This window comes from Homo sapiens, chromosome 14 (assembly GCF_000001405.40).
Source record: "Homo sapiens chromosome 14, GRCh38.p14 Primary Assembly".
Classification (NCBI taxonomy): Eukaryota; Metazoa; Chordata; class Mammalia; order Primates; family Hominidae; genus Homo; species Homo sapiens.
The window spans coordinates 29,256,616-29,270,215 of record NC_000014.9 but is presented as its reverse complement, the minus strand read 5'-3'; the positions used below and the strand labels follow the sequence as shown (position 1 = coordinate 29,270,215).

The following is a 13,600-nucleotide window of genomic DNA, read 5'->3' as shown; positions in this document are numbered from 1 at the left end:
TATTCTTGCCTACCTACTTTACCTCCAGATTTTTTGAAGCCCATCATCATTTCACTTCACCTATTGATTTAATATAAATTTCTAAAAGATAAGGAATAATGAAAAACAAACAACCATAATACCATTTTCATACCTAAAAAATCAATAATTTTTAACAATCCCAAACATGCAATCAGTGTTTAGATTTCTTCAATTTTTATATAAAATTTCTTTATAATTAATTTCTTTGAATTATTGTCCAAATAAGGCCCATTCACTTGAGTTGGTTTATGTTTCTGAAATCTCTTTAAATCTTTAGTTTCATCTTTCACCTCTTTTTTCTTGAAACACAGTCTCTATTTTGCTGACCACATACTCAGGGTAGGATTTGCTATGCACTTCTGTTCCCTATGTATTCCTGAAAATGGTGGTTGAATTTAAAATCTTGAACAGATTTAGGTTCAATTTTTTTTTTTGGCCAGAATTGGGCCAGGCACCATGGCTCATGCCTATAATCCCAGCACTTTGGGAGGCCGAGGACAGTAGATTGTTTGAGCCCAGGAATTCGAGACTAGCTTGGGCAACATGGTAAACCCTGTATTTAAAAAAAAAAAAAAAAAAAAAATTTAGACGAGCATGGCGTGCCCCCTTAGTCCCAGCTACTTCTTTGGAGAGTGAAATGGGAGAATCATTTGAGCCCAGAAGGTCGAGGCTGTGATCTCGCCACTGCACTCTGCACTCCAGTCCAGGTGAACAGAACAAAACCCTTTCTCAAAAAAACAAAAAACAAAAACAAAAAAAACAGAAACAGAAAACCAAAATAATTGTTTATAGGTTGTGTTGTGTACTATTTCATTGTCTTTTGTTTCCCTGTTGGTATTATAGCAGTTATTACAAAATGGCGATATTCTACTTCAATCTTTTATTAACTGAAATACTACTATAACATGAAACTTCTCATAAATAATTTGATTACACTGATTTATAGCTCATTTAGAAAATTCAGATGTCTATTGCTCTTTATAAAACAGTTTGCAAACTGATAAGTTGATTCCCTAGCATCTTCCTAAGTTGATTTCCTAGCATCTTCCAAAGTTGACCAGTGAGTTTTATTTCTTCATTTTTAAAGAACTATTATGAGCTCATGGATTAGAACGTGTTTGATGTATTTCAATCTATCGCAATTATTGATTGCAATAATTATTAAACTCCTTATTTAAGTTGACTTCTGAGGCTTTTTGATATAGCCGTGGAGGCTTTGAGAGTTTTCTCACATTCTTGTATGATAAGATGCCCCAAGATTATCTTAAATTTCCTACCCAGAACTCAGAATCCTCTATTTCTCCAAGGAGTCTTTATTGCTTGTACTATGAAATGATATTTAGAAATTACAATTTGAGTGCTAGAGGTGCTAATTACTATAGCATTGGAAATTGTTTATATATATATAAACTATATATATATATATATATCCAGAGGACGAACCTAAGAAATCTGGATTTGGAAATACAAAATTTGTTATGGTTTTATAAAGATGTTTCCAATTCAAATTCAGGAGTATATGATTTTTACCTTTATTTCACTTTTATTTCCTGTTTCTCTCATGTCAGCAATCCTGGCCTTTAACCATACTCATAAATCCTTATTTGTTCTTCCCTTAATACACATACAAGTCTCATAATAATAACGTATCAATGACATCTACAAATATAATCCACAAACTGTATAATTATTTTCAAGTTTTTGTCTTAGAATATATCCAACCAAGGATACACCGTCAAGTTATTGTGTTTTAAAGTCACTGTAAATAGTCGTTCTCTCTGTATTATACCACTTGTCTGTCTCTTCATACACAGATTCAATATTGTCTTAATTATAGAAAGGTTTGGCTGGGTGCGGTGGCTTACGCTTGTAATCCCAGCATTTTGGGAGGCTGAGGCCAGCGGATCACCTGAGGTCAGGAGTTCGAGACCAGCATGTCCAACATGTAGAAACCCCATCTCTACTAAAAATACAAAATTAGCCTTGGGTGGTGGTGCATGCCTATAATCCCAGCTACTCGGGAGGCTGAGGCAGGAGAATCGCTTGAATCTGGGAGGCAGAGGTTGCAGTGAGCCAAGATTGTGCCATTGCACTCCAGCCTGGGCAACAAAAGTGAAACTCCGTATAAATAAATAAATAAATAAATAAATAAATAAATAAATAAATAAATAAATTATAGGAGGTTCATAATATGTGTTGACAACTTTTAGGGCTAGATTACTCATACTCTTTTCTTTTTTAGGATTATCCTTTATTTCAGAGTTTTCCTACTTTTTTTCAAACCGAACTCTGTTTAGCTTCAAAGAAAATGAAAACTAATGGCATTTTTATGGAGACTGCATATTTAATACATTAACTCTTCCCACCCAAGATAATGGTATGTCTTTCCACTTGTTTATTTCTACATTTATGTCTTTCAGGATTGTTTTGGAGTCTTCTGGATATGAGAACATTATAAAAGGTGAAAAAGTAGAACTGAAATATGAAGGGAGAAAAAGAGACAAACATGGTTTCAAGTCTCACTTAGAGAAGAAGGATTGTTTATTTATTTGATGGAAATTGGGTCAATTGAAGACTCTGACACAGAGAATAACGGTACCAGACCTGAGTCCAGTCTTAGCTTTAGTAGGAACAAAATGTATCAATCAAATTTATATAGGACCAAATACCAGTGAAAGAAATTAGACATAATTACTGAAAGAATAAATTACATGAGATATTCACTGTACTTAGCCACATGACATGAAAACCTATGCCCTTTAGAGCAAGCACAGTTCCATGCAAAACTGTAGAGAAGTTTTCTCACCCCTTTTTCACATGCTTCTCACATTGTAGCACCCCTCCTTGAAACCATCCTACTTCTACTATCCTCCAGTTTCCTCTGGATTTGAATGTCCATATCATGCTATGGTCCTTCAGTCAGCTCCTGTGTCAGAAATCAGGGCCCTGCTCTGGGCTCTTCCTTCATCCTGTAACTATAGTCAAATAAGTCCTGTTAAGTCTACTTCCTTAAAAACTCTTAATAATCTCTTCCCCTTCTTCATTGCCATTGCCTATTGCACCATCTTATTCAGAACACCATTTTTCTTACCTATAATGTTGAAAGTAACTCTTCAACAGTCCTGTTGCGTGCTTTATCCCATTGCTTCTTATATAACAGATGTGGTGATATTTAGCCTATTTGTAGTTCCTTGAAACCATCCTTTGTACTGCCATCTAAGTAATCTTTAAAATAACAAGATAAATATTTCTATGACCTCCATTGTCTAAAGCAAATTTCCAATGTATATTGTGAAAAAAATGCCAAAGAGTTTCATGACAAATGCTATATACTATAGTCTTGGGAGAGCCACAGGGTAAATTAGTTCTAAAGAGCTCTCTTTGGTAGAGGAAACTGTTAAAATGTGATCAGCCTAATAAGATCATAATCATATGACTATGAACTATTTTAAATGTACCTATCAATTTTTTCAACCTACTGTTTTGAAGTATATTCAATCTATTGTCTCAAGTATATTTTTCAATGTACTTGAGAGTATATTGACCTGAAGAGAAAAGTCCAAACTCCTATGACCTTACTATTGTTCTGACCTCATCTCTCACAGCTCCCTCTTATTCCTGGTGTTCTATCACATGATAATGAAATTTGACAGAACAGTATTTATGTTACTGGGGGTGTGGGGCATTGAGGAAGCATGGCAAATGAGAGGGAAGTGGTAGAAAAATGACTTTTATCATGTGCCTCTAAGAAGAGACATATATGGATTGAGATCCACTTAAAAGGGAAAAGTTAAAAAAAATCAAAACCCAAAAATCACCACCATTCTGTGGATGTGGTATATTTAATTGTCTAATAATAATAAATTTCCCACAATGTCAGATGTTAAGAGTACAAGAAAGAGTTACAAAAGGAAGAGGTTAGGGCAATAAATTGAAAAGTGAGTAGAGTTGAGGAAAATGCTTTGCTAGATTGCTAGATTGAAGTTTTCTTCAATCTAGCAAAAAAGGAGACAGGAGAAAAGGAGCAAATTGCAAAGGCAATGGAGGGGAGATAACATAGCTGATTACTAAAGAGGATATTTGTGTACTTATTTGTATGGTGTGTGTGTGTACGTGTGTGTGTGTGTGTCTGTGTATGTGTGGTGGTACTTGAAAGACAAATTGGATTAGGGTAGTATTTTGATTCTGTGTTCAATTCTCTGAACAATGACTCAGCTTGATAGGCTATTAATGTTTAATAGTCCCATATATTTCTCCTATGCTGTCTACAAGAATATCATTCTCATTATAAAATTTTGTGTATCTCATTTGTCTTACATTTTCACAAATATAAAAAAATACTTCTTTACTCACTCTACAGCTCTGTGAACGTTCAGAGTAAACCTTCTTAGGATTACTTATGGAAAAGAAAAGAATATTCACTCTATCTTGTATATACAAACCATGTTAACATTATTTCTAGATATAGAACTGGCTGCATACGATTTCAACTGTTATTCTGAACAAATTTAAGTAATTCTTTATTCTCAGCATATTGGCAACATAGAAATGCATTTTAGAGGTGCAGAGGCACAGAGGGAAATTTGAGCCAAATGAATCTGCTAGATATTTCTGCACAGTTTTCATAATTCATTGTTAGGTCTGGCTTCAAGGAGGGCAAAGTTCACATATTTCTTTTTTATATTGAAATAATCACAATATTATTTTTTAGTAAAAATGTTTGATTTTATTCCAAAAAATCTTTAAGTAAGGAGTAAGATTTCTGCATGATCTGCGAAATGAAGGTGGAACAGAATAGAAGCCCTCTTCTGTACAATGTCACCAAAACATCCCGAAGTTTTATCCTGCCTGGAAAATTTCTTACACATGATTCTTACTGCTTAGCTTGAAATTGCACCTAGGAAGAAGCTTTTGTTCTCAGTGCTGCCAAAACTTCCATTTTTCAGCAGTGACCTCAGTTTAGCACCTGCTTATAAGATGTGTTTGCACATCGTTGGTACGTTATAGTGACATACATGTTCTCATCTAGGAGATTGTCATAGAATTCAAGAGATGTTAACATTTTTCCATCTGTGTGTGTGAAAGTGACGTTTCCTGTTAATTTTGTTCTCTTGCTGAATTCTCTAAGCAAAAGCCTTCTGTGGGAGGGAGAATGATGTCATTATAGTCATAGCATAAAAATTTTCAACCTTTAGAATGAGACATATTGTGGCATATATATTACTACTTTTAAAAGCAGTGACACAAAAACTTGGAGGACGATGATATCAATTTTATATTTTCAGGTGTGGGGGTTTCCAGGAGACTTGAGAATGACTCCAGGACTCATAGTTCTCCTGGAACATGGTTTTCCACTGTAGCCTTAGAAGAGGAAAGCCCATCTATGGATACTTATGTTTATGAGAATAGAGACTTGACTGTTTAATGTCAGAGGAATAGAGAGTTTGGCAAGCAGAACAATCTATCAGTGACGGCCTTTGGAAAAAATGGGCTATTTTTAGTAAAAGTTTTCATAATGACATGATTTAAAGTAAAATAAATTAGACTTTTGATTTCAACTCTGTGTTAGAGTTCTCCAGATAAATGGAACCAATAAAAAATATTTACAGGAAATGGCTCACATATTATGGTGGCTAAGAAGTCCTACGATCTGCTGTCTTCAAACTGGAGAACCATAAATGTCAATGGTGTAATTCAGTCTGAATCTGAAGGCCTAAGAACCAAGAGAAATGATGGTATAATTCCTGGTCTGAATCCAAAAGCAGGAGAAGATGTCCCAGTTCAAGCAGAAGGAATAAATTCATTCTTTATCTTCCTTCTTGTTCTATTTGTGTCTTCCATGGACTGGATGTTGACTGTCCACATTGGTGAGGGCACATCTTTTTTGTTCAGTGTACTTATAGAAATGCTAATCTCTTCCAGAAACACCCTCACAGACATATCCAGAAGTAATATTTTAATAGCTATCTGGATATCCCTTAACCCAATCAAGTTGACACATAAAATTAACCATCAAAAGCTCTGACATGTAAAAAGCTTTTTTTTTTTTTTAATACTTTTACTGGACCCATTAGAGAACTGAGGTTCCAGAGTATATTGCTACCTTGAAATATAGAGAAACAGGCAAATATGGAGATGCTTTCAATTTCCTTTTCTGGAAAAGAAGCCACTGGAGTCATAAGCTGATAAGAACACTCAAATGATAGTTTTAATTTATTGTTGGAGGCTCAGTGTGGACTACCATGAGAATGAGAAATTCCTGTGAGCAGCAATCTTGGTGCTCAGCACTCCAAACCCCTAAATAATTTCTTGGGTTTTTCCTGCAGGAACCACACTAAATTCACATGTTGAAAAGTCAAAAAATATCTTCTCCTGGTTCTGGGAGGAGAAGGGGAAAATTAGCCAGTGTTAAATACTCATAGAGTATTCTCCACACACACACACACATACACAAAGAAAAGTTTACTCTGTAAGGGTAAGACTTTACTGGAGCCTTATCCACCTGATGATAAGGATGGCATAAGGAAGTCATTTCTTCGACTCTAGCATCGTCTGGTCTTTCTGTGACATTTAAGGGGGGAAAAAAATCTAAGAACTGTAACTTGTGAAAGTTACAGTCTATGTCTAAAGACCCACTAAAAGACAGATTTAATCATAATGCTGTAGAATGCTCTTCCTCCCTGACTCCTTACCATCACATCAATAAGGATCCAGTATAATAGTGTTATTTCCCAAAGAGCTGTAAGGTAGACTTTATCTAAAGAGTTCTGAGGGACACTAAACACAACAGGGGAGACAAAAACAAGGGCACTCTAGGCATTTGAATTCTCTGGCACCTACAACTACAACAAACAGTAAACATGGCCCTACTCCTAGCCACATTATCATAAAACCCCACACTAAAGGTCTACTTACCTAATTTCCTAACACCTACCTCATGCATCATATTTGACTTTCAACCAAAAAAAAAAAAATTTACGAAACATAACAAAAGGCAAGAGAAAATGTTCTGAAGACAAAGCAAACATCAGATAAGACTCAGCTGTGACACAGAGTTGGAATCATCAAGGAATTTAAAATAACTGTTACTAATATGTTTGGTATGCTGTAAAAAAAGAGGTAGAGAGAATAATAGAACAGACAGGTAAATTAAACAGAATGATAAAACCTTCATGAAAGGAAAATGCTAGAAATCAAAGCCATGGTAACAGAAATGAAAAATTCTTTACAAGGGCTCATCAGCTGATAAAAATTAAGTTAACATGAAGATAAATCATTATACATTTTCCAAACAGAAATGCAAAGAGAAAAGAGAAAAATAATTTTTAGAAAAAAATAGAAGAATCAATAAATGTAACTTACATATAATGAAAACAGCAGAAGGAAAAGAAAGAGAGAAAAGGACAGAGGAAATATTGGAAGGAATAATGGCTGAGGATTTTCCAAAATTAATGGCCAAAGCAAACCATCGATCTAGAAAGTTCAGAGAACACTGAGAAAGATAAATACCAAAACATCTAAGCATATTAAAATCAAACTTCAGTAAACAAAGGCAAAGAGAAAATTTTGAAAGAAGTCAGCAGAAGAAAACAAAATAAAACTTACTTTTCAGGAAAAAGGAAAATAATTATGAAAGACTTTCCTTCTAAAACTATGTTATCAAAAAGACAGTGAAGTGAAATATTTAGTATTAAAAGAAAAGCAAAATGAAATCTAAAATTTTATATCCAGTGAAATTTTTCTTCAAACTTGTAGGCAAAGTAACAACTTTCTCAGATAAAAATCTGAGGAAATTTATCATCAATAGATCTTCCCTACAAGTAATATTTTTAAAATTCTTTAGAGGGAAAGAAAATGGTATCATTCAGAAACTCACATCTAAATAAAGAAAGGAAGAACATCGGCGGAGGGAAAATTAAAGGCATTAAATAAAATTAAAATATTTTTTCTTCTTAATTATGAAAGATATCTTTTTATTTACAGTAATTCTAACGGTGTGTTGTATGATTATAGTCCTTGGATAAGTTAAATGACAGTAACATCATAGTGGATAAAAGCAGATAATCAATGAAATTGAAAACAGAAAACAATAGAGAAAAATCAATGAAATCCTAAGCTTGTTCGGAATGATAAATAAAATTGATAAACCTATAAGAAGGTTAACTAAGAAGAAATAGAGAATACAGAAATTCACAGCATCAGAAAGGAAAGATGTATTATCTGTACTGGTCCCACAAACATCAAAAGAATAGTAAAGAAATATTAACAACCATAGATCTAGAAAGCTCAGAGAACTCTGAGAAAGATAAATACCAAAACATCTAAGCATATTAAAATCAAACTTCAGTAAACAAAGGCAAAGAGAAAATTTTGAAAGATGTCAGTAGAAGAAAACAAAATAAAACTTACTTTTCAGGAAAAAGGAAAAGAATTATGAAAGACTTTCCTTATGTTTCTTAATTGATACTTTATAAGAAACGAACCAATGTTTTGAAAAATACAAACTGCTGAACTCATACAAGGAGACCACCTTATTTGGATATACCTATGTATATTCAAAAAATTGAATCAATAATTAATAACCTTCCAAAATAGAAAGCACCAGTTAGGTTCACTTTTAGCAAACATTTAATGAAAAAAATACAATAGAAATTGTAGAGAAATAATATTTTTTCATTAAATGTTTGCTAAATGTATCATTTCTCCTCCAAAAGGCAGAAACAGTAGGAATACTTTCTAACTCATTCTATGAGGCTGGTGCTACCCTACTACCAAAACCAGAAAAAGACCCAGTACAAATAAAGAAGACTAGAGCAATATCTCTTATGAACATAGATGCAGAAATTCTTAGCCTAATATCAGCAAATTAAATTCAACACCATTAAGAGAATGAAAACAGCAGTCCAGACCAATACAAAAACATCTGCAAAATACATACCTGAAAAAGACTTGTATCTGAAGTATAGAAATAACTCTTAAAATGTAATTCTTAAAAAATACTAATTTAAAAATAAAAACAGAAATTTCATCAAAGAAAATACACAGATGACAAATAGGTATATAAAAATAATCAACATCATTTATTATTAGAGAATTTCAAATTAGAGCAATGATGAGATATTGCTGCACACCTAGTAGAATGAGTAAAACTAAAACAATACAAAAAGCTCTAACAATAACAAATGGTGGTGAGGATGTGGAGCAGCAGGAACTTTCATTTATTATGTGTGGGAAGGCAAAATGGTACAGCCAATTTTGAAACAGATAGTTTCTTATAATGCTAAACACAGTCTTACCACGTGGTCCAGCAATTGTGCTCCAAGATATTTGCCCAACTCTTTTACAAACTTATGTTCACCCAAAAGCCTACACATGAATGCTTATAAAATCTGTTTTCATTATTACCAGAACCTGGAAACTACCAAGATGTCCTTCAAAAGGTGAATGAATAAACAAACTGTGGTATATTCATACATACAATGGAATATTACTCAGTGATACAAAGAAAAACACTATTAACTCATATGAAGATGAAAATGAATCTTAAATCCCTATTTTAGTGAAAGAAGCCAGTCTGGAAAGCCTACATTCTATAATTCCAATTACATGACATTCTGGAAAAGGCAAATAAATCTACAGACAGTAAAAGGATCAGTGATTGCAAGGAGGAATGGGGAAAAATAGTACAGGTAAAGTACTGGGGATTTACAGTGTAGTGAAACTATTTAGTATAATATTGCAATGTTAGATACATATTATACTTTTGTCAAAATCCATATGAAAGTGCAGTATAAAAGTTAAATAATATATTTTTAAAATAAATTTTAAAAATCATTTAGACATTTCAGAGATCTCAGGACAAAATGCAATATATGACAAAAATTTAAGCTTATTGCAAATATGTGAAACAACCACACTGAAGGTGTTAGGAGAAAAGGTTTTTACTTAAGAAATTTTGGAAATGAATGGAGTCTGAGAGTAGGCAAAAGAACAATGCATAAGCACTATACACTAGTTAACAAATGTTTTTCCCCATTAGTTAAGAATTCTGATACTGGTATACATTTATGCTGGAGTTAAATAATTACATAAGTGGATAGTGGACTGTGGGATCCACCTTTCATACTGTTGCAATGGGAATTTACAAATAAATGAAGGGAGAAGGCTAGGATCATCAATGTGGTAATGGATTTACATTGGAGACATCAGTATAAGTTTAGCTTAATATAGGTACAGGTGATAATGTTTATAGATATCTGTATATACATGGATTAGAATTCACAGATATATTTCTTTGTTCTGTCAGCTGAGAGTGCCTAAAAATGACATTTCATTGGACAAGTGTACACTGAGTACCCAGATCTTAATTACTAATACAATTTTCCACTAGAAGGAATCAGAGTTCCATAGATAAATGACTAATTGTAGGTTTGGGGCTGGAAATATGTACGATGCACCTGGATAATCTCATAGCACCAAAAGCATGAAAGGGTTAAACATATACACACATACACACAAACAAACACATACATACATACATAAATACACACTGGTGGGGGTCTGTCAAAGAGACACAGGATCCAATGGAAAGAATTCTCGCGATAGTTTACTGAGAATGATGGTTTCCAATTTCATCCATGTCCCTACAAAGGACATGAACTCATCATTTTTTATGGCTGCATAGTATTCCATGGTGTATATGTGCCACATTTTCTTAATCCAGTCTATCATTGTTGGACATTTGGGTTGGTTCCAAGTCTTTGCTATTGTGAATAGTGCCGCAATAAACATACGTGTGCATGTGTCTTTATAGCAGCATGATTTATAGTCCTTTGGGTATATACCCAGTAATGGGATGGCTGGGTCAAATGGTATTTCTAGTTCTAGATCCCTGAGGAATCGCCACACTGACTTCCACAATGGTTGAACTAGTTTACAGTCCCACCAACAGTGTAAAAGTGTTCCTATTTCTCCACATCCTCTCCAGCACCTGTTGTTTCCTGACTTTTTAATGATTGCCATTCTAACTGGTGTGAGATGATGTCTCATAGGTGGGAATTGAACAATGAGATCACATGGACACAGGAAGGGGAATATCACACTCTGGGGACTGTGGTGGGGTCGGGGGAGGGGGGAGGGATAGCATTGGGAGATATACCTAATGCTAGATGACACGTTAGTGGGTGCAGCGCACCAGCATGGCACATGTATACATATGTAACTAACCTGCACAATGTGCACATGTACCCTAAAACTTAGAGTATAATAAAAAAAAAAAATTAAAAAAAAAATAAAAATAAAAATAAAAATAAAAAAGAAATCAATATTAGTTGCAAAACAAAAAAAAAAAAAAAGAATTCTCAAAAGGCATGGATAGAACAATGAGCAAAGAAATAAAGTAGCATTGAATTTTAACCAAAATATAAAATAAATATGCATAAATCTTCACTTATTGAATAAGTAAAGAAATGGTGGAACAAAAACAAATCTTCCTTGCAGAAGAATACCAAATAATTTGTGTAGCTGCTTTACTCTCAAGACGATAGGAGCACAATTCTCTAGTTTTAAAGTGAGGGCTATGCGTAGGGACTCTCAAAAAAATATATAGTATAGAAAGGAATAAAAGTAGCTGCCTTACAGTGGAGAAATTTGACAACTACTGCCTCAGTTGATGATCAAGGTAAACATCAACAGTGATAAATCGTGTTGACAGTATGTGCCATGACATGATGCAATGAAAATGGTATATCTATGGTCTTCCTCCCAAAAAGACATAACCTCAGTGTTTTGAAATGTGAGAAAGACATGAGATTTGGGAGGGGCAAGGAGTAGAATGATATGGTTTGGCTTTGTGTCCTGACCCAGATCTCACAAACTGTGTCTCAACTTGTAATCCCAACATGTCAAGGGAAGGAACTGGTGGGAGGTAATTGAATCATTGGGGTGGTTTCCCCCCATGCTGTTCTTGTGATAGTGAGTGAATTCACATGAGATCTGATGGTTTAAAAGTGTGTGGCTGTTACCCTCTCGCTGTCTCTCTATCCTGCCACCATGTAAGATGTACCTTGTTTTCCTCTTCTGCCATGATTGTGAGTTTCCTGTGACCTCCCAGTAATGCTTTCTGTTAAGCCTGTGGTAATGTGAGTCATTAAATCTCTTTTCTTCATAAATTACCCAGTCTCAGGTAATTCTTTATAGCAATGTGAAAATGGACTAATACAGAACATTGGTACTGAGAGAAGTTGGGTATTGCTATAAGGATAATTTAAAATGTGGACGTGATTTTGGAAATGGGTAATGGGCAGAGGCTAGAATAGTTGGGAGAGCTCAGAAGAAGACAAGAACACATGGGAAAGTTTTGAACATCCTAGAGACTCGTTGAATGGTTTTGACCAAAATGCTGATAGTGATATAGACAATGAAGTCCAGGGGCTGAGGTGGTCTCAGATGGAGATGAGGAACTAATTGGGAACTGGAGCAAAGGTCAGTCTTGCTATGTTCTAGCAAAGAGACTGGTAGCATTTTGTCCCTGCCCTAGAGATTTGCAGAAATTTGAACTTGAGAGAGATGATTTAGGGTGTCTGGTTAAAGAAATGTCTAAGCAGCAAAAAGTTCAAGATGTGACATGGCTTTTTCTAAAAATGTACATTCATATGCATTAAGAAAGAGATGAACTGAAATTAGAACTTATGTTTAAGAGTGGAGCAGGGCATAAAAGTTTGGAGAATTTGCAGCCTGACTATGTGGGAGAAAAGACAAACCATTTTTTGGGGAGAAATTCAAGCTGGTTGCAGAAATTTTCATAAGTAGTGAGGGCCAGATGTTAATAGCCAAGACAATGGGGAAAACGTCTCCAGGGCATTTCAGAAATCTTCATGGCAACCTGTCCCGTCACAAGCCTAGAGGATAGGAGGGAAAAATGCTTTCATGGGCCCCACTACTCTGTGCAGTCTCAGGACATGGTGCCTTGCTTCCCATCCACTGCAGCTCCAGCCATGGCTAAAAGGGGCCAACATACAGCTCAGGCCATTGATTCAGAGGGTGCAAGCCCCAAGCCTTGGCAGCTTCCATGTGGTGTTGGGCCTGCAGGTGTGAAGAAGATAAGAGCTGAGCTTTGGGAGCCTCTGCCAATTTCAGACGATGTATGGAAATGCCTGGATGTCCAGGCAGAAGCCTGCTGCAGGAGTGGAGTCCTCATGGAGAGCCTCTATTAGTGCAATGCAGAGGGAAAATGTGAGGCTGGTGCCCCCACAGACAGTCCCCACTGGGGCACTGCCTAGTGGAGCCATGAGAAGCTGGCCACTGTCCTCAAGGGCCCAGAATGGCAGATCTACTGACAGCTTGCACCACACCCCTGGAGAAGACACAGGCACTCAATGCCAGTCAGTCAAAGAAGCCAAGGGGTCTGTGCCCTGCAGGGCCACAGGAGCAGAGCTGCCCAAGGCCTTGGAAGCCCACTCCTTGCATTAGTGTGTCCTGGACGTGAGACATGGAGTCAAAGGATATTTTGGATATTTAAGATTTAATGGCTGCCCTATTGGGTTTTGGACTTGCATTAGACCTGTAACCCTTTTGTTTT

General features: G+C 35.4%; 1 long non-coding RNA gene across 5 annotated transcripts in view; it reads left to right on the top strand.

Moving 5' to 3' along the window:
* The window catches only part of LOC102724934 (uncharacterized), a 181,069-nt gene that overhangs the window by 121,839 nt on the left and 45,630 nt on the right, over positions 1-13,600 (top strand). For 3 of the 5 annotated variants that reach the window (XR_007064104.1, XR_001750707.2, XR_001750708.2), the window contains one exon: positions 2,442-2,482. This is a non-coding gene — a long non-coding RNA (uncharacterized LOC102724934). Of the gene's footprint in view, positions 1-2,441; positions 5,837-13,600 lie in introns of those variants that run through there. The other 2 variants (XR_943701.3, XR_001750706.2) reach the window with 1 other exon arrangement.